The 22690-nt window shown below is 37.3% G+C and overlaps 2 protein-coding genes and 1 pseudogene across 28 annotated transcripts in view, besides 1 other annotated feature; 2 read left to right on the forward strand and 1 right to left on the reverse strand.

Annotated features, from left to right (window-relative positions):
- Positions 1-15424, forward strand: part of FIRRM (FIGNL1 interacting regulator of recombination and mitosis) — a 70244-nt gene extending 54820 nt beyond the window's left edge. For 16 of the 20 annotated variants that reach the window (XM_047424760.1, XM_047424762.1, NM_001366771.1 and 13 more), the window contains 7 exons: positions 3761-3883; positions 5018-5113; positions 9034-9147; positions 10844-10948; positions 11609-11689; positions 13161-13280; positions 14134-15424. In XM_047424760.1, coding sequence (XP_047280716.1) covers positions 3761-3883; positions 5018-5113; positions 9034-9147; positions 10844-10948; positions 11609-11689; positions 13161-13280; positions 14134-14331 — 837 coding nt within the window. In that variant the 3' untranslated portion in view covers positions 14332-15424. Of the gene's footprint in view, positions 1-3760; positions 3884-5017; positions 5114-9033; positions 9148-10843; positions 10949-11608; positions 11690-11781; positions 11874-13160 lie in introns of those variants that run through there. The other 4 variants (NR_159440.1, NM_001366770.1, XM_017001723.2 and 1 more) reach the window with 4 other exon arrangements.
- Positions 10975-22690, reverse strand: part of SCYL3 (SCY1 like pseudokinase 3) — a 44638-nt gene continuing 32922 nt past the window's right edge. For 4 of the 8 annotated variants that reach the window (XM_011509801.2, NM_181093.4, XM_006711465.2 and 1 more), the window contains 4 exons: positions 20385-20556; positions 17140-17301; positions 15614-16308; positions 10975-15116 (listed from right to left, as the gene is read on the reverse strand). In XM_011509801.2, coding sequence (XP_011508103.1) covers positions 15057-15116; positions 15614-16308; positions 17140-17301; positions 20385-20556 — 1089 coding nt within the window. In that variant the 3' untranslated portion in view covers positions 10975-15056. Of the gene's footprint in view, positions 15117-15613; positions 16309-17139; positions 17302-20384; positions 20557-22690 lie in introns of those variants that run through there. The other 4 variants (XM_017001863.2, NM_020423.7, XM_017001862.2 and 1 more) reach the window with 2 other exon arrangements.
- Positions 21100-21396, forward strand: RN7SL333P (RNA, 7SL, cytoplasmic 333, pseudogene; annotated as a pseudogene).
- Positions 22141-22341: a silencer, noted in NCBI's record as "peak450 fragment used in MPRA reporter construct". NCBI's record gives its function as "represses an SCP1 promoter by STARR-seq MPRAs in K562 erythroleukemia cells {active_cell/tissue: K562}" and the evidence as "EXISTENCE:reporter gene assay evidence [ECO:0000049][PMID:32103011]".

Below are 22690 nucleotides of genomic sequence, written 5' to 3' on the forward strand. Positions count from 1 at the left end.
TTTTTGTATTTTTAGTAGAGATGGGGTTTCACCATGTTGACCAGGCTGGTCTCGAACTCCTGACCTCAGGTGATCTGTCCACCTCGGTCTCCCAAAGTGCTGGGATTAGAGGAGTGAGCCACCACACCCAGCCTCAACTTTTATTTTAGATTTAGGGGATACTTGTGCAGGTTTGTTTCCTGGTTTTATTGCGTGATGCTGAGGTTTGGGATATGAATGATTTCATCACCCAGGTACTCAGCATAGTACCCAACCGTTTATCAACCCTTACCATCTCTCCTCCCTCCCCCTACTAGTCCCGTGTTTATTGTTGCCATCTTTATGTCCATGAGTGCCCAGTGTTTAGCTCTCACTTATAAGTGAGAACATGTGGTATTTGGTTTTCTGTTCCTTTGTTAATTTGCTTAGGGTAATGGTGTCTAGCCGCTCTCTGTTGCTGCAAAGGACATGATTTCATTCTTTTTTATGACTGTATACTATTCCATGGTATATATGTACCACATTTTCTTTAATCTGTTGATGGACATCTAGGTTGATTCCATGTCTGCTGTTGTGAGTAGTGCTGCAATGAACATGTGAGTACATGTGTCTTTTTGGTAGAACGATTTGTTTTCTTTCGGATATGTACCCAGTAATGAGATTGCTGGGTAGAATGGTAGTTCTGAGTTCTTTGAGAAATCTCCAAACTGCTTTCCACAGTGGCTGAAATAATATACATTCCTACCAACAGTATATAAGCATTTACTTTCTCTGCAGCCTCACCAGCATCTGTTGTTTGACTTTTTAATAACGGCCATTGTGACTGGTGTGAGATAGTATCTCGTTGTGATTTTGATTTGCATTTCCCTGATAGCTTTTTCATATGATGGTTGGCCTCTTGTGTGTCTTGTTTTGAGAAGCGTCTGTTCATGTCTTTTGCCCATTTTCTAATGGGGTTGTTTTTTACTTGTTCAGGTGTTTAAGTTCCTTATAGATTCTGGATATTAGACCTTTGTCACATGCATAGTTTGCAAGTATTTTCTCCCATTTTATGGGTTGTCTGTTTACTTTGTTGATAGTTTCTTTTGCTGTGCAGAAGCTCTTTAATTAGGTCCCACTTGTCAATTTTTGTTTTCATTACAATTGCTATTGGTGTCTTTCTCAAGGCTGATGTCTAGAATGGTGTTTCCTAGGTTTTTTCCTAGGATTCTTATAGTTTGAGGTCTTATATTTAAATCTTTAATCCATCTTGAGTTAATTTTTGTATATGCTGAAAGGTGGCTATCCAGTTTCATTCTTCTGCATGTAGGCTAGCTAGCTATCCCAGCACCATTTATTGAATAGGAGTCCTTTCTCTGTTGCTTGTTTTTGTTGACTTTTTCAATGATCACATGGCTGTAGGTATGTGGCTTTATTTGTAGGTTCTCTATTGTGTTTCATTGATCCATTTCTGTTTTTGTACCTGTATCATGATGTTTTGGTTACTGTAGTCTTATAGTATAGTTTCAAGTCAAGTCACGTGATGCCTCTGGCCTTCTTCATTTTGCTTAGGATTACTTTGGCTATTCAGGCTCTTTTTTGATTCCATATGAATTTTAGAATAGTTTCTTCTAATTCTGTGAAAAATGGTGTCAATAGTTTGGTAGGAAAAGCATTGAATCTGTAGATTGCTTTGGGCAGTATGGCCATTTTAATGATACTGACTCTTCCAATCTATGAGCATGGAATGTTTTTCCATTTGTTTGTGTCATCTATGATTTCTTTTAGCAATGTTTTATAGTTCTCCTTGTAGAGATCTTTCACCTCCTTGGTTAAATGTATTCCTAGGGGTGTGCGTGTATCTACTGTAAACAGGATCGTGTTCTTTTCTTTTTTCTTTTTTTTTTTTTTGTTGAGACGGAGTCTCGCACTGTCGCTCAGGCTGGAGTGCAGTGGTGTGATCTCGGCTCACTGTGAGCTCTGCCTCCTGGGTTCCTGCCATTCTCCTGCCTCAGCCTCCCGAGTAGCTGGGACTACAGGTGCCCGCCAACACGCCCGGCTAATTTTTTGTATTTTTAGTAGAGATGGGGTCTCACTGTGTTAGCCAGGATGGCCTCGATCTCCTGACATTGTGATCCACCCACCTCGGCCTCCCAAAGTGCTGGGATTACAGGCATGAGCCACTGCGCTCGGCCTTGTGTTCCTGATTTGCCACTCAGCTTGAATGTTATTGGTGTATAGAAATGGTACTGATTTTTGTACATTGATTTTGTATCCTGAAACAGATAGTTTGACTTCTTCTTTTCGTACTTGTGTGCTGCTTTTATTTTTTTCTCTTGCTTATTGCTCTGGCTTGAACTTTCAATACTATGTTGAATAGGAGTGGTGAGAGTGGGCATCCTTGTCTTGTTCCATTTCTGAAGAGGAATGCCTCCAGTTTTTGCCTGTTCAGTACGACGTTGGCTGTGAGTTTGTCATAGATGGCTCTTATTATTTCGATGTATGTTCTTTTGATGCCTAGTGTCTTGATGGCCTTTATTATAAAGGGATGTTGGATTTTATCAAAAGCTTTTTCCATATCTATTGAGATGATGAATATGGTTTTTGTCTTTAATTCTGCTTATGTGGTGAATCACACTTATTGATTTGCATATGTTGAACCAACCTTGCATCCCAGGAATGGAGTATACTTGATCATGTTGAATTAATTTTTGATGTGCTATTGAATTTGGTTTGCTAGTATCGTTTTGAGGATTTCTGCATCTAGAACATGTTTATTTGTAAAAGGAAATAGGTAAATCTTAAGAAGTTGTATGGTAATTGCATAAAATTAAGTGTGGTTGTGTAAGTATAATAGATTCAAGGCATTCATTGTTACTGTTTATTACATTCTCATAAGACCTTCCCTGTACCCCCACCACACCTCAAACAACCTCATTTCTGGCCAGAGAGAGAATTGAGTATTTTCACACATGGTAAAAGTTAATCCAGAAAACATTGCCTTTAGTTTCAAATACTAGTATTTTTTAAGTACTATCTTTGCTTATTAAATGCAGTGTTGCTGAGGCATTTAAAATTTTAAAACAACAGGAAAAATAAAAATCTAGTAACCTATAAAGATTGCTGGGTGCGTAATGTGAAAAAATAACTTTTTGTTGATGTATATTATAAATTAGCTTGATTATACTGGCCACTTGTATCAAAACTATTTATTAAAGTAGATTTCTGCTTCCATTTGGTAACTTTGGGTTACCAACATTTCACCCTAAAAGGAAGTTTATGGCTGGGTGCGGTGGCTCATGCCTGTAATCCTAGCACTTTGGGAGGCCGAGGCTGGCAGATCATGAGGTCAAGAGATCGAGACCATCCTGGCCAACATGGTGAAAACTGAGTCTCTAATTAAAATACAAAAATTAGCTCGTGTGGTGGTATGTGCCTGTAGTCCCAGCTTCTCGGGAGGTTGAGGTAGGAGAATCGCTCGAACCTGGGAGTTGGAGGTTGCAGTGAGCCGAGATTGCACCACTGCACTCCAGCCTGGTGACGGAGTGAGATGCCATCTCAAAAAAAAAAAAAAAGTTTATTTAGAAAAATAAAGCAAATGTTTCTGTGTACAAGGAAAATTATTTTTAATATATACTTGTGTTAAATAGCTGAAAAGATGGCTTTGGCTCTTAGAAATATTATTCTACATGGACTTTATGAAGAGTTAAAAGTAACTTTTATAACCTCTAGTTAAGTCGGCTCTTGGTGGTGCTTTAGACTGGTGTTTAAACTCAAGTCCTTTCCTGTTTCTGTCCTTCAGAACACAGTACTGTCTGCTTTGCTTGCAGTATGTAATTCTGCTGGTGAAGCTTTGGATACAGGAAAACAAACTGCAATTATCGAAGTTGTGAGTCAGCTTTGGGCTTTTTTAAACATTAAACAGGTAAGGAAAGCAACTGATCCTTTCCTTATCAAAAAATAGAAAATATCAAAAAAAGAGGATTGTACTGAAATTTTCCAGTGTAGAGTAAAATGTATCTAATTCTTTTGGGTGCTTGGTAGACCTTTATAAGAACTTAAAGTACCTGTACTCTCTCACGCAGCTTTTTCAGAGTGTGATAGCATTATATTAGTAAAATCAGAATACGTAATGTGATGGCAGTCCACCTACTTACTTTCCTAACTGGTTATACCCTTTCCCCACCTCCCCATCTCTTCCCCTATTGTTTCTGTTCTGTCTTAGGTTAATGTATCCTATTTCTGTAATTCTAGGACCTTTAATAAATCTTTTGGGCAATGGAGAGTGAGCTGACTTAAAGGTGGAAAGGGCTAGTGAATGGATGTGGCTAATTTGTATTTCTCTTTCCCAGCAAAGCCAAAAAGCCAAGTGATGATCTAAAACTAATGATATGCATCCCACACATGGTTGTACACGTGTTTCTTAGTTTGAAAATATAGCCTGTTTGTTTTCTTTGACTAAGTAGAAATTAACATTGGCCTCTGGCAGCTAGAGGAAGCTAAAGGCAACAGCCATACTTTTGGGAAATGATAGATATGATTTTACAGATAATGTTTTATTATTGTTTTTTATGGTCAGATTGCCCTACTGCAGTGTTTTGGCTTCAACAAATACTTTTCCTGATGTTCACAAATCATTCAGTATTCATTCAGGATATCTGTGCTGGAGATATAGCTTACAATATTATAATGTAAACCAAAATTATGAAGAAGGGAAATGAAATTTTAAGATTACTAAGGAACATACAAGCCTTTCAGTGATAGACAAGTAATTAGATCCCTTTTAGACTTAAATTTGGATTTCAGTCACAGCTCTGCTTTTTGTCCTAGCCATGTGATCTTGAACAAATTGTTTAACCTCTTTGACCCTGTTTTCTTATCAGTAAAGTGAAGGTAATAATATCTACCTCATAGAGCTGTTTTGTAAGGCATAAATGAGGTAATAAATATAAAATACTTAACATATTACCTGATATATAATAAATGCTCAATAAAAGCTTGCTATTATTATTCTTATGTGATTGAAAATTTTTCTTCAAAATTACTTTGTGTTTCTTAGGTAGCAGATCAACCTTATGTTCAACAGACATTCAGCCTTTTACTTCCACTGTTGGGATTTTTCATTCAAACTCTAGATCCTAAACTGATACTTCAGGTAAGAATAATGACCAGATTGATACTTTGTTTGCTAAGGAGGTTGCTAAAACTGCTATCATGTAAAATAACTTTCTAGAAATAGTTCCTTTAAACCTCCTCTTGTTGTGTCATATATTGACTTGTCTTCATCAAGGATATCTCATTTCTCTTTCTTCCTTACAGTATTGTTAATATATGGCGCTGTTAATTCAGCCTTTATCTGTTCTTCTCTGTCACCCTATACTGAGCAGTCAATACTTTTTGTTATTACTGTTAACTACCCACTGCAAACCCCTGAGGTTAGGAGTCATAGTTCATGTGTTGAACCCTGCATTCATAGCAGTTTCAAAAGCATTTCAGCAGCTGTGGGAATGTGGAATCTAACCAGTGTGTATTAAAAGATAGCACCTATTGTTTCTTTGAAAAAATAAAATTATTTTGAAAGAAGAGCACTGCTGAATTTCCTCTTTGGCCTCCAACTTACATGGCTAGGACAGGCAGAGCCTGGGTCACTGTCTAGGGAACCCTTGTGGTGCCTCAGCTGTGCCTTTCTTTTGGAAGTTCTAAGATGACAGAGAAAGTGGAAAAGCCCTTCAGCTAAACTGAAGTGATTTAGAGGCTTTGGAATGAGTCCATACTAGACAGAATTGATGCCCCAAATTAAGAGTTAGCTTAAGCTCAGGGTCAGGTAAGAAAGATAAACAATAACTGTTAAGAGGAGAAACTACCCTTCTTATTTATGAAGATGATCGAAGAGATGATTCCTGTCACAGTATGTGGTGGAACAGAAAGGAATGAAACTAGTAACAGCTTTGCTTTTAGTAGCTGTTTTTAATGGTGTATGTATATGAAGAAGTTAGCAATAACAAGTATGTCCTATACCATATGTATAACATGGATTTTACTAAGTTATAAAGAGTCAGAATACAGTAATTAACTCATTGAATGCAACAATTTGATTCTGATTCTGAAAGCTCTAATATTTTTAGAAAAAATACAATAATTTTGATATAATGTGCCTACCTTTAAAAAACCCAAATAAAGTTCTAAAATTTCTAAATAAGTAGATTGTTCAAAGGGTATTGCTTCCTTTATAAAAGATTTCACCTCAAGATTCTTTTAAATTGGGGGTTTGCAGATTATGGCCTTCTGTCTAAATTTTGCCCTCCTGTTTTCAGCCCAAGAGCTAGGCATGAATTTTAAAGGTTTGCAAAATAAAAAATAATATGTAACAGAGAACATGTTGCCTACAAAGCCTAAAATACTTACTATTTGGCCTGTTAGAGAAAAAGCTTACCAGTCCTTGCTAAATAATGAACTTCTCTCAATAGAATTTTAAATACAGGCATACCACAGAGAGATTACAGGTTGTGTTCCAGACCACCACAATAAAGTGAGTGAGTCACATGAATTTTTTGGCTTCCCAGTGCATACAGAAGTTATGTTTACACTATACTGTAGGTTGTGTATAATAGCATTATGTGTAAAAAATGTACATAATTAAAAAACACTTTATTGCTAAAAACACTAATGATCATATAAGCCTTCAGCAAAACATAATCTTTTTGGTAGTGGAGGGTCTTGCTTCAGTGTGGATGGCTGCTAACCCATCAGGATGGTGGTTGCTGAAGGTTAGGGTGGCTGTGGCAATTTCTTAAAATACGACAATGAAGTCTGCCACATCAATTGACTCTTCCCTTCATGAAAGATTTCTCTGTAGCATGTGATGCTGTTTGATGGTATTTTACCCACAGTAAAACTTCTTTCAAAATTAGAGTCAATCTTCTCAAATCCTGCTAGTGCTTTAATAACTCAGTTTATGTAATACTCTAAATTCTTTGTTTTCATTTCAACAATGTTCACACCATCTTCTATACCAGGAGTAGTTATGTGTCAAGAAACCACTTTCTTTGCTCATTCATGAGAAGCAACTCCTCTTCAAGTTTGATCATGAGATTGCAGCAATTCAGTCACATCTTCAGGATCTACTTCTAGTTTGCTAGCTATTTCTACCACATCTGCAGTTACTTCCTCCACGGTAGGCTTGAACCCCCCAAAGTCATCCATGAGGGATGGAATCAACTTCTAATTCCTGTTAATGTTGATATTTTGACCTCCTCCAAATGAATCATGAATGTTTTTCATGGCATCTGAAATGATGACTCCTTCCCAGAAGGTTTCCAATTTACTTTGTCCAGGTTCATCAGAGGAATCACTATCCATGGCAGCTATAGCCTTATAAAACGTATTTCTTAAACAGTAAGACTTGAAAGTCACAATTATTCCTTGATTGATGGGCTGCAGAATGACTGTTGTATTAACAAACATGAAAACAATATTCATCTCCTTATACGTCTCCTTCAGAGCGCCTGGTTGAGCAGGTGCATTGTCAATGAGCAGTATATTTTGAAAGAAATCTTTTTTTCTGAGCAGTAGGCCTCTCAATAGTGGGCCAAAAAATATTCAGTAAACAGTGATATAAACAGGTATGCCATCATCCTGGCTTTGTTGTTCCATTGATAGAGTACATGCAGAGTAGATTTAGCAGAATTCTTAAGGGCCTTAGGATTTTTTTAATAGTAAGTGAACATTGGCTTCAACTTCAGCAGCTGCATTAGCCCCCAAGAAGAGAGTCTGTCCTTTGAGCTTTGAAGCCAGGCATTGACTTCACCCCTCTAGCTATGAAAATCCTAGGTAGCATCTTCTTCCAATAGAATGGTGTTTCCTCTACATTAAAAATATATTGTTTAATGCAACCACTTCCATCAGTGATCTTAGCCAGATCTTCTGGATAATTGACTGCAGCTTCTTCATCAGCACTTGTTGCTTCACCTTGTGCTTTTGTGTTACGGAGATTGCTTCTTAAACTTCACGGGTCAACCTCATTAGCATCAAACATTTCTTCTGCAGCTTTTTCAGCTCTCAGCTTTCACAGAATTGGAGAGAGGGCCTGGCTTTGGATTTGGCTTTGGCTTAAAGGAATATTGTGGCTGGTTTGATCTATCCAGACCACTAAAACTTTCCACATCAACAATAAGACTTTCCGTGTTCATTGGAATAGCATTTTTCATTTCCTTCAAGAACTTTTCCTTTGCATTCACGACTTGGCTAACTTGCAAAAGAGGCCTAGCTTTTCACCTCTCTTGACTTTTGACAGCACCAGGCTGAATTATCTTTAGCTTTTGATTTAAAGTGAGAGATGAGATTATACTTTTCACTCGAACACTTAAGAGGCCATTTTAGGGTTAATTTTAATATTGTGTCTCAGGGAATAGGGAAGCCCAAGGAGAGGGGGAGAGACTGGTGACCTACCTGTTGGTAGAACAGTCACAACACACAATTTATTATATTTGCCATCTTATAGGGGCACAGTTTGTGGTGCTCCAAAACAATGACAATAGTAACATCAAAGATCACAAATCAGCGTAATAAAATCCTAATGAACAAGTTGAAATATTGCAGGAATTACCAATCTGTGACAGCCATGAAGTGAACACATGCTGTTGCAGAAATGGTACAGGTAGACTTGTTCAGTACAGAGTTGCCACACACCTTATATTTCTAAAAAAAAAAAAAAAAAAAAAAAAAAAGCAGTATCTTCAAATTGCAATAAATCAAAGCACAATAAAATACTGTTTGTACAAAATATGTTTTAAAGGTTTGGTATATAAAGTTTTTCAGAAACATGTATACTTTTATTTTTTACGTGGTTGGAGGCAGGAGGGTGTGGTAAGAATAATGCTTTAACTGTTAACTTGTTCATAGGATTGTCTTATTTAAATTCTACCAGTGAAGTTCAGGGGCTGTGGTGTGTTTGTTTTTTTCTGGGTTTGGTTTTGTTTCCCCTCCCCACATTTCCATCCAAATCTTAGGCAGTTATTGTGTCTGTACAAAATACTGGTATTATTTATAACTGTTCTTTGGTCTTCACCTCTGTAGGCAGTAACTTTGCAGACCTCGCTACTTAAATTAGAGCTTCCTGACTATGTTCGTTTGGCAATGTTGGATTTTGTATCTTCTTTAGGAAAACTTTTTATACCTGAAGCTATCCAGGTAATATTGCTTAACTCTGTTCTTGTATTATTAAAACAAAATCTCTATAAGAGTTAGTGATTAAGGGATTTTTAGGCTTTTTCTGAAATTTTGCAATTACTGACAAAGTTGGAAAAAAAAAACTATGTTCCAGACAGATTATAAAATCTATTTATAACTTATAATACAACTCATTTTAAGTTCTTTTCTTTTAGAAAAATATATGTTGATACACAAATAATTAGTTGGCTGTAGTCTACCATATTAGATTCTTATTCCAGTTGGGTTCTAATACATAGTTCCTGTGTATTTGTCTTATAGGGAACAGCATGTAATTAGGAAATTTGGTAATTTATTAAAGTTATTCTCTTCGTTTTTTATCCATGAAAGAGAACCTGTTTTTAAAGACGATATTTTTGAAAGTGTTGCAAAATATGTATAGCTGACAAATAGATTATTTATAAAATTATACTGCACTGGCCTGGCAATACACATCTACTGAATTTTAAAACCTCAGTAAATGTATATTACCAGGCCAGTACATAATTTAAAGAACTTACAGCAAAGAGATCTTCATAAATTGAGAATTACGCCTTCCTTATTACTATAGTCAAAATTTAGTAATTCTAGTAATTGACACTTCAATCTCCAAGGGAGAGACTATAAAGAGTTCACTAATGAGAACTTTCTTACATAATTAAAGCAAACACATTATAGACAGTATCTCAGAACATGTAGATTAAACTCTTTGAAACCAAAAATTTAATTTCTAAGGGGCTCTTTTATTTGTTCATAAGTTAACAGTATCCCATCTGTCTCCATCATGTTAAGGTTTTATTTCATGAGATAAGCATAGAATGTTGACAGCTTTTCAGCTCTCTTGACAAAAATATCCAAAGACACTTGGCATCTGAGCTGTCTTCTTTTTACCATGAAATAAATCTATTCCAAAATGCTGCTTCATTTGTGAACCACTATGGACTATGCACGGGCCTAGAAATTATGAAACAAATGTTTTATAAGCAGAAATCGCAGTGCCTTCTGTATTCCCAGGAGTGAGGTCAAGACCTGAAGAAATTTTTGAGATTCATCAGAACATAGGAGGCATTTAAAGCCATGAAATGAGATTGACTGATTTATCCATTCGGGAAAGATTACGTTTTTGCTGTACCCAGTGCTGTTTTAATCATTGGCAATGCAGTAATGAACCAAACTAATAAATCCCCACTGTTAGCCTGTTTAGAGGCAATAAACAATAACAACATGATGATATGTGCAGTATATTAAATGGTGGTGAGTGCTATGGAGAAAAATAAAGCAGGGAAGGAAGATAGGGAATATGAATGTGGGGGTCCAATTTGAAATGGGATATATAGTTAGTGAAGTCCTCACCAAGGTGACATGCAAGTAAAAACCTGAAATGCAAAGCACTGGAGATGGGAGCATGCCTCATATTCAGGGAAGCAAGTATAGCTAACACAAAGGTAGCAGGACTTTGCAGGTCATTTGAGGACTTTGGCTTTCACTAACAAGGGAAATAGGGAGCTACTGGAAGGATTTGAGTAAAAGAGTGACATTACCTAATATGTTTTAGTGTGTGTCCCCTGGGACAGGATTATGTTAACTTGACAACACTGGGCTTATTGAATGTATGGCTATTTTATGATTATCTATTATGGTTTCTTTTCTCTATTATAATAAGGCTTGGTTCTTTTAGGACAGAATTCTGCCCAACCTGTCCTGTATGTTTGCCTTACTGCTAGCTGACAGGAGTTGGCTGCTAGAACAACATACCTTGGAGGCGTTTACTCAGTTCGCTGAGGTAATTATAAAACTGATTTATCACAGTGACTTTCAAACCATTTTAATATTTCAAATATTCCAGAACAATCCCAAAACATTTATTGAACTGCTTCTGTATTGCAATCGGAAAATTGTCTGAAGGGTACATTACTCGTTATCTCTTTTACAGCTTCTCAAAATGAGGCTTAGATAAATGAAGTGAATTTCGTAAGGTCCTCTGAATAAACAAGGACCAGAACAGGCATACACAGCAGGCCTACTGATACAGACAGACACAGACACAGTCTTCCAGCAGATAGTATTTTTGGGTCAAATGATAATACATTTCATTTTGTGCTATCAGTCATAAGGGTTAGGCTGATGAACCTAAACCTGTAAGATGGGTTGCTCCTTTACTCTTACTGCATTTGCTGTATAGTCATGCCTATGATCATAAGGGAGTCCAGAAGCATTAGTATGACCCAGCAGAAGTAATTAAAGCTTACAACACTTGTACAGAAGTTAATTTTGTATTATCCTTAGGGACCCTGAAGGAATCATGAGTTTATCACCTTTGAGGATCCTCTGGGACTCTTACTTAAAATGAATTTTTGGTTAAGGTAGCTCATAAAACTCATCTATTTGTCTTTGCAAGTTGTTGAAATGTTAAAATTGGTCTTGTTCATCAATTTTTTAATAGGGAACAAATCATGAAGAGATAGTTCCACAGTGTCTCAGTTCTGAAGAAACTAAGAACAAAGTTGTATCCTTTCTGGAGAAGGTACTTTCTTTACATGGCTCATGTTTTATTCTTTGTCCTATTTTTTTTTTTCCGAAATTATGTAACTGTAACCAACCTGAGTGTCTTCTTAGCTTAAACTTTTCACAGTGCTGAGCACAGTGCTGACGACTTTTACTAAGCAATTGAGGCCACAGAAGTAAAACACTTGGGGCCAGGCGCGGCGGCTCATGCCTGTAATCCCAGCACTTTGGGAGGCCAAGGTGGGTGGATCATGAGGTCAGGAGTTCAAGACCAGCCTGGCCAACATGGGGAAACCCTGTTTCTACTAAAAATACAAAAATTAGCCGGGCATGGTGGTACGCGCCTGCAGTCCCAGCTACTCGGGAGGCTGAGGCAGGAGAATTGCTTGAACTGGGGAGGTAGAGATTGCAGTAAGCCAAGATCATGCCACTGCACTCCAGCCTGAGCGACAGAGTGAGACTGTCTCAAAAAAGGACACTTGTAGTTCCTCTGCCTGTAGTTTGGGGTGTAATAGCACTGATTATCCAGGCAGTGAGATGACTAATGAGGATCCCTAAGCTATTAATAATCATAATTAAATACACTTGATCACATAATTAGGTAGGCCTGAGAGGATGTTTACTACCATATTTTGGGTATAATTTAGGCATGGCTTTTTTTTTTTTTTTTTTTTTTTTTTATTTGGGCAGCCTCCCAAGCCAGGGTAAGCTCAGGGCCCTTTTTTTTTTTTTTTTTTTTTTTTTTTTGGCATGGCTTTTTTATTCTCTTTGCAGCCAAGACCTGTTTTTACAATTAAAACCAAAATTTTGAATCACAAGGTTCCTATGTCTATGCATACTTGGGAACTTAGTGTGAGGAAATAATAGTTAATTGAAATACTAGTGGAACTGTTAAACCACAAATTTAGACTACCAGGAGAAACTGAATTATTTGATATATTACATGTAATGATGCACGTTATATATTTTACATATATTACATATATATTTTTTTAGGTGAAATGGGCCCACTTGACTCACTGAACTTTATTTTTTAGACAGAGTCTCGCTCTGTCGCCCAGATTGGAGTGTGGTGGTGTGATCATAGCTCGCTATAACCTCAAACTCCTGGGCTCAAGCATTCCTCCCACCAAAGTCCTGGGATTAGAGGCATGAGCCACCACACTTGGCCTACTTATATTACATCTAAGCTGGATTTTAAGTACATGTGTATACACTGCTGTTGCCAGTTTCTTAGCTTATACAGTAAAGGTTAGCAGACTATCATTTTTTCCTGCAAAGACAACTCTATAACTAACTATTTTGTAAGGAAGAACACAGTAGAGTGATTTAATCCAGATTATACTAAGAGTATTTATAGATCAGTCCATGTGACTTCCAGAATTTGCCTAGTATGGTTGAACACTCAGCACTTAAATTATGTGGCCATTTCATATCTAGTAGAGTGCTAACATGTTGCTATTTGCTTGGTTTTTCATGGTCCCTGGCAGACTGGGTTTGTAGATGAAACTGAAGCTGCCAAAGTGGAACGTGTGAAACAGGAAAAAGGTATTTTCTGGGAACCCTTTGCTAATGTGACTGTAGAAGAAGCAAAGAGGTCATCTTTACAGGTATGGGCTGATTTCAATAGGGGCCAAACTTTAACAAGGCAAATTCTGCCCTTTTTACTTACTGACGAAACAAACCAGTGTGGTTTCCAGCCTTATGCTGAATTTCAAATCAAATAGATCTAGACATGTAAAATTCTGTTTTATGGTAGTTGCTTTTAAAATTAAGAAGTGGGACTACACCATATCAAATATATTCTTTCAGTATGTTTGAATTATTGGTAGTAACCTTTAAGGGAAGTTACATATTGTACCAGTGATGCTATAAATGCAGTCTTTACTGAACCACAGAAGAAAATGAAAGAAACTTACTCCTAAATGTTTAGTTTGATTCCTTGCCTTATTAATCAAATGAGTCTCCTAATAATTTTTGGCAGTAACTGAAGATCACATCTACTTATTAAAAGGCAGAATTTGACACCAATAAGGATATTCAAAATATTGTTTTGAGCACTATTAGTATAGTAATTAGTATAGTAGTAATTCATGAAGAACAACATTCTGATAAGTTTTAGTCAAACTCTCATAAAAAGAAAATACATTTATGAACTTGTTTATAAGACATGTAAGCTTGGACTATGCAGCACTTCTCATTGGGAGCCCTTTGGGACAGGATACTTGTTGTATACCACATACAAACTAAGACACTGGTAGTAGCACTCTGAATTGCTATGATAAACCAAAATGCCTTTACATATTTTTCTAGATGACTGTGTAGGGGTTTTGGGGTGCATCCTCCTACCCTTGTGATCCAATGACTAGAATAAAATTTGCATGTAAGCTTTACTCCAGTCCAAAAGGAAGGTTCTTTATATTTAGAATGGATATTGTGATATTACTTATGTTTTTTTTCCAGCCTTATGCAAAAAGAGCTCGTCAGGAGTTCCCCTGGGAAGAAGAGTACAGGTCAGCGCTGCATACAATAGCAGGGGCTTTGGAAGCAACTGAGTCACTACTCCAAAAGGGTCCTGCTCCAGCCTGGCTTTCAATGGAAATGGAGGCGCTCCAAGAAAGGATGGATAAGCTAAAACGTTACATACATACTCTAGGGTGAAACTTATCACTAGGCAGAACTGGGTTTGATGCTTTGTCAACTGAAAATACTTATGTCTGTACATTTTCTAACAGATATAAAACAAATTTTGTAAAGTTGAATCTAGTGAAAATAATCTTTATTTGACATTTAGAGAACAGGATTGTGGGGAATATTCTTATTAAGAACTTTGGTACAATGTACTACATGTGGAACAGTCAGGAACTGCCTAGGTCCACAAAGAACCATTTACTCAGATAGTCTAACTGTAAACAAATAAATAAGCTGCCTAAGGAAACCTCAGCAATTTAAAATCATTTATATAATTTATAGCTAAAATTTTTTAAAGTTGTATTTCATAATAGAGCTTACTCTTATGTTAAAGAATGGCACAAAATTAAGCTAACCAGCTTGAATTACATTTTCTTTACTTCCAGAATTGTCCTGGAAAAAGCAGTAAATTCGACCTCTCCTCAGCTACTTGCTCTTCATAGAAACTGGCCTCAGTCAAATGCACAAAGGCTCTTCCTCCTGGAAACCAGTACTGTGAGCCTCACCACCCAGGGCTTTTAGCCAGCACTCACAGTCAGTCTCCTACTTCAGTTGGCACAGACTGGATAATGAGCTCCTGGGATGGGAAAAGCAGGCCACTTTGGGGTTTTCTTGTCCCAAAGCCTGCTTTTGAGGTATTGATTTTTTTTAAAAAAAGGGAATCCTTTTTCCTAAAGTTTAACTCACATCTATTGTCACCAGTTATTATCTTCCCAGTTCAGCTCCCCTTCTTCTTCCCAGCCTTCAGCCTCTCCCTGCAACAAAATAAAGCACACCAAGAACCCACTGAAACAAATCATATGCAAAAATCATACGCAAATTTGAAAAAGCAGGAATTTAAAATTTATCTTTTGATGCCAGAAACACTACCTCGTACTAAGTAAAATAACTTAGAGCTCTAACAGAAAGTTGAAAAGTAGGATTACAAAACCATGGCACTGGAAAATAGCTTTTCAAAAACCATAAAATCCAGTAAAAATCAGTGTGGATGACACCAAATCCTTATTTTAATCCCTTTTTTTTCTTTTTCAAATAAAAAGGTTACAATAGCTCATTAAACAAACTAAGCATTGCTACATTTTTCTGGGGGAAGGAAAGATAGATACCAATGATAGAAACTGATTTTGTTAATTTTGTGCTTGACTTGACTAGGAAAATAGCATGTTGCTTGTTATAAATGGGATACTGCAACTAGGACCTATGAGGGAAATCCTAAAGCTAGTAGCACAGTTTACTCCATAAAAGTACTCACCTCAGTAATTTCTGCTGCAGCAAATTTTGAGGAAAACTGCATCACTGGGGAGACATCATCCTTTTTTGGGACCATTTCTGTCCTCAGTTCAGGTAATATAAGAAAAGCAGCAGAAGGCTTAATTTCTGGGATCATATCAGCAAACCAATCCATCTCAGGATCTTTTACTGGCTTCTTTTTTACTTGAATGGTGAATTCCTCTCCTAAACCAAGTTCTGATGGAACCTTAAGGGGCCTTTCTTGTGATGACACTTTTGGCGGCTCGATTTGGTCTGCGTCATCCCCCCTTTGTACAAGGCTAATCTTTTGGGGTAAGCTTGATTTCCAAGGCATAGACTCTTCAGTGAGTGAAAGCAAAGCAGGAATAGGCTTCTGCTCCCCTGAGGTAACAGGTTTTGTAGCAGTGATTCCACCTCCTGGGTTTACTTTAGTATCTAAGCTGCTGGGCTCGCAGTCATCCCAAGATGACTCTTCCACATCCAAGGTAGTGCACTGGGACTTGACATCATCACAAGGTTCTCTAGGCCAAATCTGTATGTTGACAGTTTGATTTTCAGGCTCCTCAGGTTCACTCCAGTCAGGCCACTCCTCAGACTTTTTAGAACTTGATGGGAAGTTTTCACTGTCCTCCGAAGTATTTTTTACATCTGAGAGTCCATTTATGGGAAATTTAATAGGCTGAGAAAATGGATCGCCTGTAGGGAAAATAATTATTCTCATAAAATACTGGTTAAAGGTAAGAACTACACTTATGGGAAGGATAGCATTAAGGAAGTGTAGTAGTATAGGTCTAATTACTTGGAAATATCCATGCATACTAAACAAAAGAGATCCCAGCAGAACATTACTCAAGATCAACGATGTCACATGTTATCCAAATAATTACATAATACTTACATTATTAACTCAGTGGAAGCATGTAAGTAATAACTAGTGCATTCAATCCTTATTAAATATCCAAACATACAGTATATTCACATAAATATAGAAATGCTCTAAGCCAGGCAGTGTTATCCTTGGGATGTTTGTTAATTACATATGCCTGAAAAAGTCTTGCAGGCTCAAATAAGTTTGCCTAACTCAACTTATTAACCTCACTTTAAGAAATTTCCCTAAGTGTAGTAGTTAAGGCACTGAGAGATCCTGTGCAATGTGTTAATGACTTTGCTCTCATTTCCCCAAACTTATTTAACCACAGAACTCTTTTTCACAACACGCCCATTAACATCTTTCAAAACTATCATTCTTGGTACAATTTGGAAGATGCTGCACTAAGGCAACAAAAGTCTCAAAGTAAAGTATCAGTGCAAAAAAGAATTCAAGTAATGTCAACCTGCACTTCTCACCAACTATAAAGAGGAGGTAAGTATATATCCAATAGTCTGGAGAAACAAGATGAGACCAAAGCTGACTACATAATTACAAATAAATCAGTCTCAAAACTCCCAAAACACCCATAAGCTTATTAGTCTCAGGAAAACATTCATCCAAGCAATGGAAAAGCTATATAAATTTAATATTTCTACCTGTCTGTAAAAGAGTATTGTAGTAATCTCGCTGTATGTGCTTCTTGCTGTTGATGGGCGTGCTGCCAGAAAAGAAACATTTAGGGAATATGCTAGAGAAGGGGTTCTCCAAGATTGGCGAGATCTGACTGTGATGGCTGCAGACGACACACATAGGAGAATCTGAAGGTAAATAAAAACTCCAAAACATGAAAGGGACAGTAAATTGCTTCTTGATCTATCACATGGTTGGTGGGCATAGTTAAGTGAAATGGGTATATTTTTATACATATAAAGGATAAAATGGAGGAGAGAACATCTTCAAACATTTGAAGACATACACCCATTATGGAATGGACTGCCTGTCCCTAGAGGTGTTTAAGAACAGGCTGTGTCCACTCCATGTGGTGATGGATCAAAGCATTACACAGATATAACCTTTGGGACACCTAGCTAAAAAGTTATAGCCCTTCAAAACATGTTGGTGGAGATTTAAAACCAACTGATTCTACTTACTTTCCTTTTAAGAATAAAAGTTGAAGAGTATAAGCATAAGAATATGAATGTAGTGAATACCACAAAACTATACACTTAAAAGTAGTTAAAATAATAAATTTAAGCTGTGGACATTTAACCCCCAACTGGGGAAAAAATTAGTTTCAAGAAATGTCCTTAACAGTTTGCCAGAAAGTTTATACTTAAAAAAATGGGCATTGGTCAATCAATTTTTGGCCAAAAAGTGAGGATGTGGGGAATAGCCTGGGGTAAACTCTTAACGATTAGGTCCCCAGCTCTCTTCAGCACCACATCTCCCCCCTCCTCACCCCAGCACTCAGGCCAGGCCTCTACAAGCCCTCCACTCATTTGTGCCACTATCCTCCTTGAAGTCCTATCTAATGCCTTATCCGATGTCTTCTTCTCTGAACCATGTTCTCCACCTCTCTTTCAGGCAGACTTAATTTCCTATTTCCCTTTCATAGCTGAAAATGAGACCACAGCCTCTACATCACCCTTTTCAAGCTCTTTGCAGCCATGACGCTGGTTTCATTAGCACCAAGGAAGAGGTGAACGCTCTTTAAAACTTCAGGAAGCCAATGTTGCTTTAAAAATTCTTTTAGCATCAAAATTAGAGAAAAGCCTATCTGATTAACTCTTTTCTGCTAAATGTCTCCATGTTACCAACTATCAATGAGAACTGGGTTAGAGATCCAGAATTACATAACAAGTTCATTGTCTTACTGAAGGCTACACAAAGGAGCAATGACATTGTTGATAAAAAATTCTTGTAAGACCAGAAATTACTGCTACCTCCCAGGTAACATCCACTGGGAACATACCAGAAATAAGGACTTCCTGCAGTATCTAAAAGGCAACAGCTTTTTACCCCATAGGCCAACAAAAGTCACAAGAAACTTAAACATCTAGTGTTAATAAGAATTGATGCAACCTTTTTGTAAGCTGACAGTATCTACTAAATTTAAAATATATCCTTTGGCCCAGCAAGTTTACTTCTAACATTCAGTGTCTGCGGATGCTCAAGTCTCTTAAAGAAAATGATGTAGTATTTAAATATAATCTATGCATATCATCCCATAATACTTTAAGTCATTTCTTGGTTACTTATAATACCTTTATTTTTTGGTTTCTTTTCTGAGTATTTTTGATCCACAGTTGGTTAAATCTGCAGGTGCAAACCTGCAAATATGGGGGACCAACTGGAAAGATACACGTGTAAAGATATTCATTGCAGCACTGTTTGTAGGGATTAAAAATCCAGAAATGGATGCAGTATCCATGAATAAAGAAATCACTGAATGAATTATATTCAGTGAAATATTAGGTAGCTTTCAAAGAGTAAGTTAGACTTCTATGTATTGGGAGACAGGTCCCTGATATGTTGTTACTTGAAAACAAATTATAGATTTGTGCATGGCATTTTCTTACCATTTAAGCAAAAATCCTACACAGTCTTGTGTCACTTAACAATGGGGACATGTTCTGAGAAATGCATCTTAGACGATTTTGTCCTTGTATAAACATAGATGGTATAGCCTATTAACACCTAGGCTATAAACTGATACAGCATGTTACTGTACTGAATACTGTAGATAATTATAACACAGTGGTAATTATTTGAGTGTCCAAACATAGAAAAGTAAAAATATAATGATACATGGTATACCTGTATAGGGTATTTACTATGAATGGCATTTATAGGACTAGAAGTTGCTCTGAGTTACCAGTGAATGAAGGCCTAGGATATTACTGTACACTACCATACAGTTTATAAACACTACACTTAGGCTACACTAAGTTTATTAAAAATTTTTCTTCAATAATGTTATTTACTATAACTTTATAAACTTTTTAATGTTTTTAACTGTTTGACTTTTTTGTAATAATACTATGCTTAAAACATATTGTACAACTGTACCAAAATATTTTCTTATATCCTTATTCTGTAAGCTTTTTCTGTTTTTAAAATTATTTACTTATTTTTACTTTGAAACTTTTTTGTTAAAATCTAAGACACAATCACACACATTAGCCTAGGCCTACACAGGGTCAAGATCATCAATTTCACTGTCTTTGACCTCCACAGCTTATTCCGCTGGAAGGTCTGCAGGGAGCTGTCATGTCCTCTGATAACAATGCCTTCTTCTGGAATACCTCCTGAAGGACCCCTGGAGGCTGTTTCACAGTTAAAGTTTTTTCTTTTTAATAAGCAGAAGGAATACACTAATGATTAAAAGTAAATATATAAACCAGTTACATAGTCATTTGTTATCATTACCAAGTATTATGTACTGCACATAATTGTATGCACTGTACTTTTATATAACTGGCAGCACACTAGGTTTGTTTACACCAGCATCACCACAAACACATGAGTAATGCATTCCACTACAGCTACAACATCAACTGCCAATAGCAATTTTTCAGCTCCATTATAATGTCATGAGACCATCATGGTATAGACAGTCAGTCATTTACGAGGTCCTTCGTTAACCAAAATGTCCTTATGTGGTACATGACTCTCTATGCACGTGTAAACATATATCTGTGTGTCTTTTTGCAAGCTTAAAAAAAAAGTATGAAAGGATTCCCACTGAAAATCCCCCCGAGAAGTTCAGAAAGAGAAATTAACTTTTTATTTATACTTCTTTATATCATTTGACTGAATATGACCCTCCTACATTACTTATATAATACTAAAAATCTAAAAAAATGACACACAAAAAGTTAGACCTTTTAATAATTCTTACCTTCTAGAGAAAGGTCAGTATTTTTAGTAAAACTTGGGGCAGTGCGTTTGAAGATCTTGGTTCGTTCTCCTCCCACAACCACCTCTGGTCCAAGCAGAGAGACCAGCACTGCTAGGCTATGCAGAGTAATTGCCACAATGGAATCGCTAGTATCACGCAGGCCCAGCAAAACCTAGGAGCAAATGAGGTAATAAGGGTTGACAACCACAATACCTATCTCTTTCTTCCCCTGTAAATGAGCAATTGGGCTGCAAACAGATTGTGCTTAGATAAACTACATTATCTTAGATATGTGTTCCAGGTCAGTGGCTCTCAAACTACCTGTGGTAAAAGACCAGTATCTTCCCCTCCCAATCCATCACAGACTTACCATTTTTAAAAAATACAATCAAAACAAAATTAAAAAGACATATGTTGGGTACATAAAATTACTCTGTCAAATTGCGACAAAAGGTTTTAAATGTTAAGTCTTCATATCTGTACTCACATCACAGAACTGTAATAAAAAGTTCATGTACTGGCAGTGTTCTGCAGAGCGCACTCAGAACTCATCTAGGGTACTAACAGTTATGTTCCTGTCCATGCTTCTCTTTTCAGCTCTTTTCAAGGGTAGGACCACCTGTCCCAAACTGAGCCCATCATGATCTTTTGTCCAGTAATATAAACTAGAATTTATATTTTCAGTTTATATAGGTTTACTCAATGAGGACAGTATGCCAGGCAGGGACAAGTGCCTGTAGCCCGAGCTACTCAGAAGGCTGAGGCATGTGGATCACTTGAGCCCAGGAGTTCTGGGCTGTAGTGTGCTATGCTGATTGGGTGTCTGCACTAAATTCAGCATCAATATAGTAACCTCCCAGGAGCTGGGGACTACCAGGTTGCCTAAAGAGGGGTGAACCAGCCCAGGTTGGAAATGGAGCAGGTCAAACTCCTGGGCTGATCGGTAGTGGGTTCATGCCTGTGAAGAGCCACTGCACTCTAGCTTGGGCAACACAGTGAGACCCCCATCTCTAAAATAATTTTTTTTTATGAGGACAGAAAACTTGGAAGTTATGGGACAACCATTTTGGCCATGTGCACACCAAAACAAGGAAAGCTGGTCTTCAGAGAGTCAAAAGTCAAACAAATGCAGACAGAAGAAAGGAATGAAAAACATGGCTGTAAGCCCCAGCTGCACTTGATTTCCATCTAAGTTAGTCTAACATTCTTAAATTTTTTTTGCTTTGGCTGGTTTAAAATGAGTTTCAGTTACTTGCAACCAAAAACACCTTAGAAGACAGTCACATGCAGATATCAGGCAAGTACTGCTCTGCATATAAGGAAGGAAATGACCTTCAAAGCATCTGCACCAGCCAGACACAAGGCCAGGGTAACTGGCCTGCCTACTGGAAGCAGCAGGGCGTGACAGGTATCAGGAATCTTTGGTTTTGGTCTTAGCTCTGCTAATAATTCTCAATGTGACTTGACCAATTGGTCTTTTTATTTTTCTGGCCTGGTTTCCTCATTTATATAGTAAGATTAAAGGTTTCCAACAGGACTCAAAAGATAATTATTAGGACCAATGCTAACAGATCACTTTCTGTACATGTAAACTAAAGCATGTTTCTTTTACATATGATTAGAGTTCTGCCCACTGAATATGATAATCATAAAACAGCAATCCGCCCAAGCCAAAAATTGGTCATCCTCAACACCTCTTCCATCTAATGAGAAACTGAGTACTACCCCTTCTGTGTCCCTCTACTATATCCACTGTCACACTTTCCCCAGCCTTTGTCATCTCTTAGCTAAACTATTCTAACAGCTTCCTAGCTTATCTCCCTTTCTGTGGTCTCTTCCACACTGCTACCAAAGTGAACTTTCTAGCACACACAAATTGGCCCACTCTTCTTTAGGGGAAGCAGTTTCCTAAGTAATGAGAGGTTTCATTGTCTTCCACATGCTCAACATTTACTCTTTGACCTCAGTCCAATTCTGAGACCTATGATGACAACTCCATTTCAGAGTTAAAGTGCTTCATTCCTCTTCTAAATTTCCAGACACAACTACATACAGGGTAACAATTACTGCTGCAGATGTAAATACAAAGTGCTATGTTGTAGTTACTACAACACAGAGACTTTAAAGTCAGCCCCCAGCGAATCACACCTCCAGTATCCATGCCCTTGAGTAAACCCATCCCACAATGAGCCTGGGCTTTTTCCAACTCTAACCGAGAGAATGAGGCAAAAATGACTGTCAGTTCACAACCTACACTTTAAGAAGGCTTCTTTTGCCCTTTTTTTTTCTTTAGCCCTGGCCAGCCA

The sequence above is a fragment of the Homo sapiens genome, chromosome 1 (genome assembly GCF_000001405.40).
Source record: "Homo sapiens chromosome 1, GRCh38.p14 Primary Assembly".
NCBI lineage: Eukaryota > Metazoa > Chordata > Mammalia > Primates > Hominidae > Homo > Homo sapiens.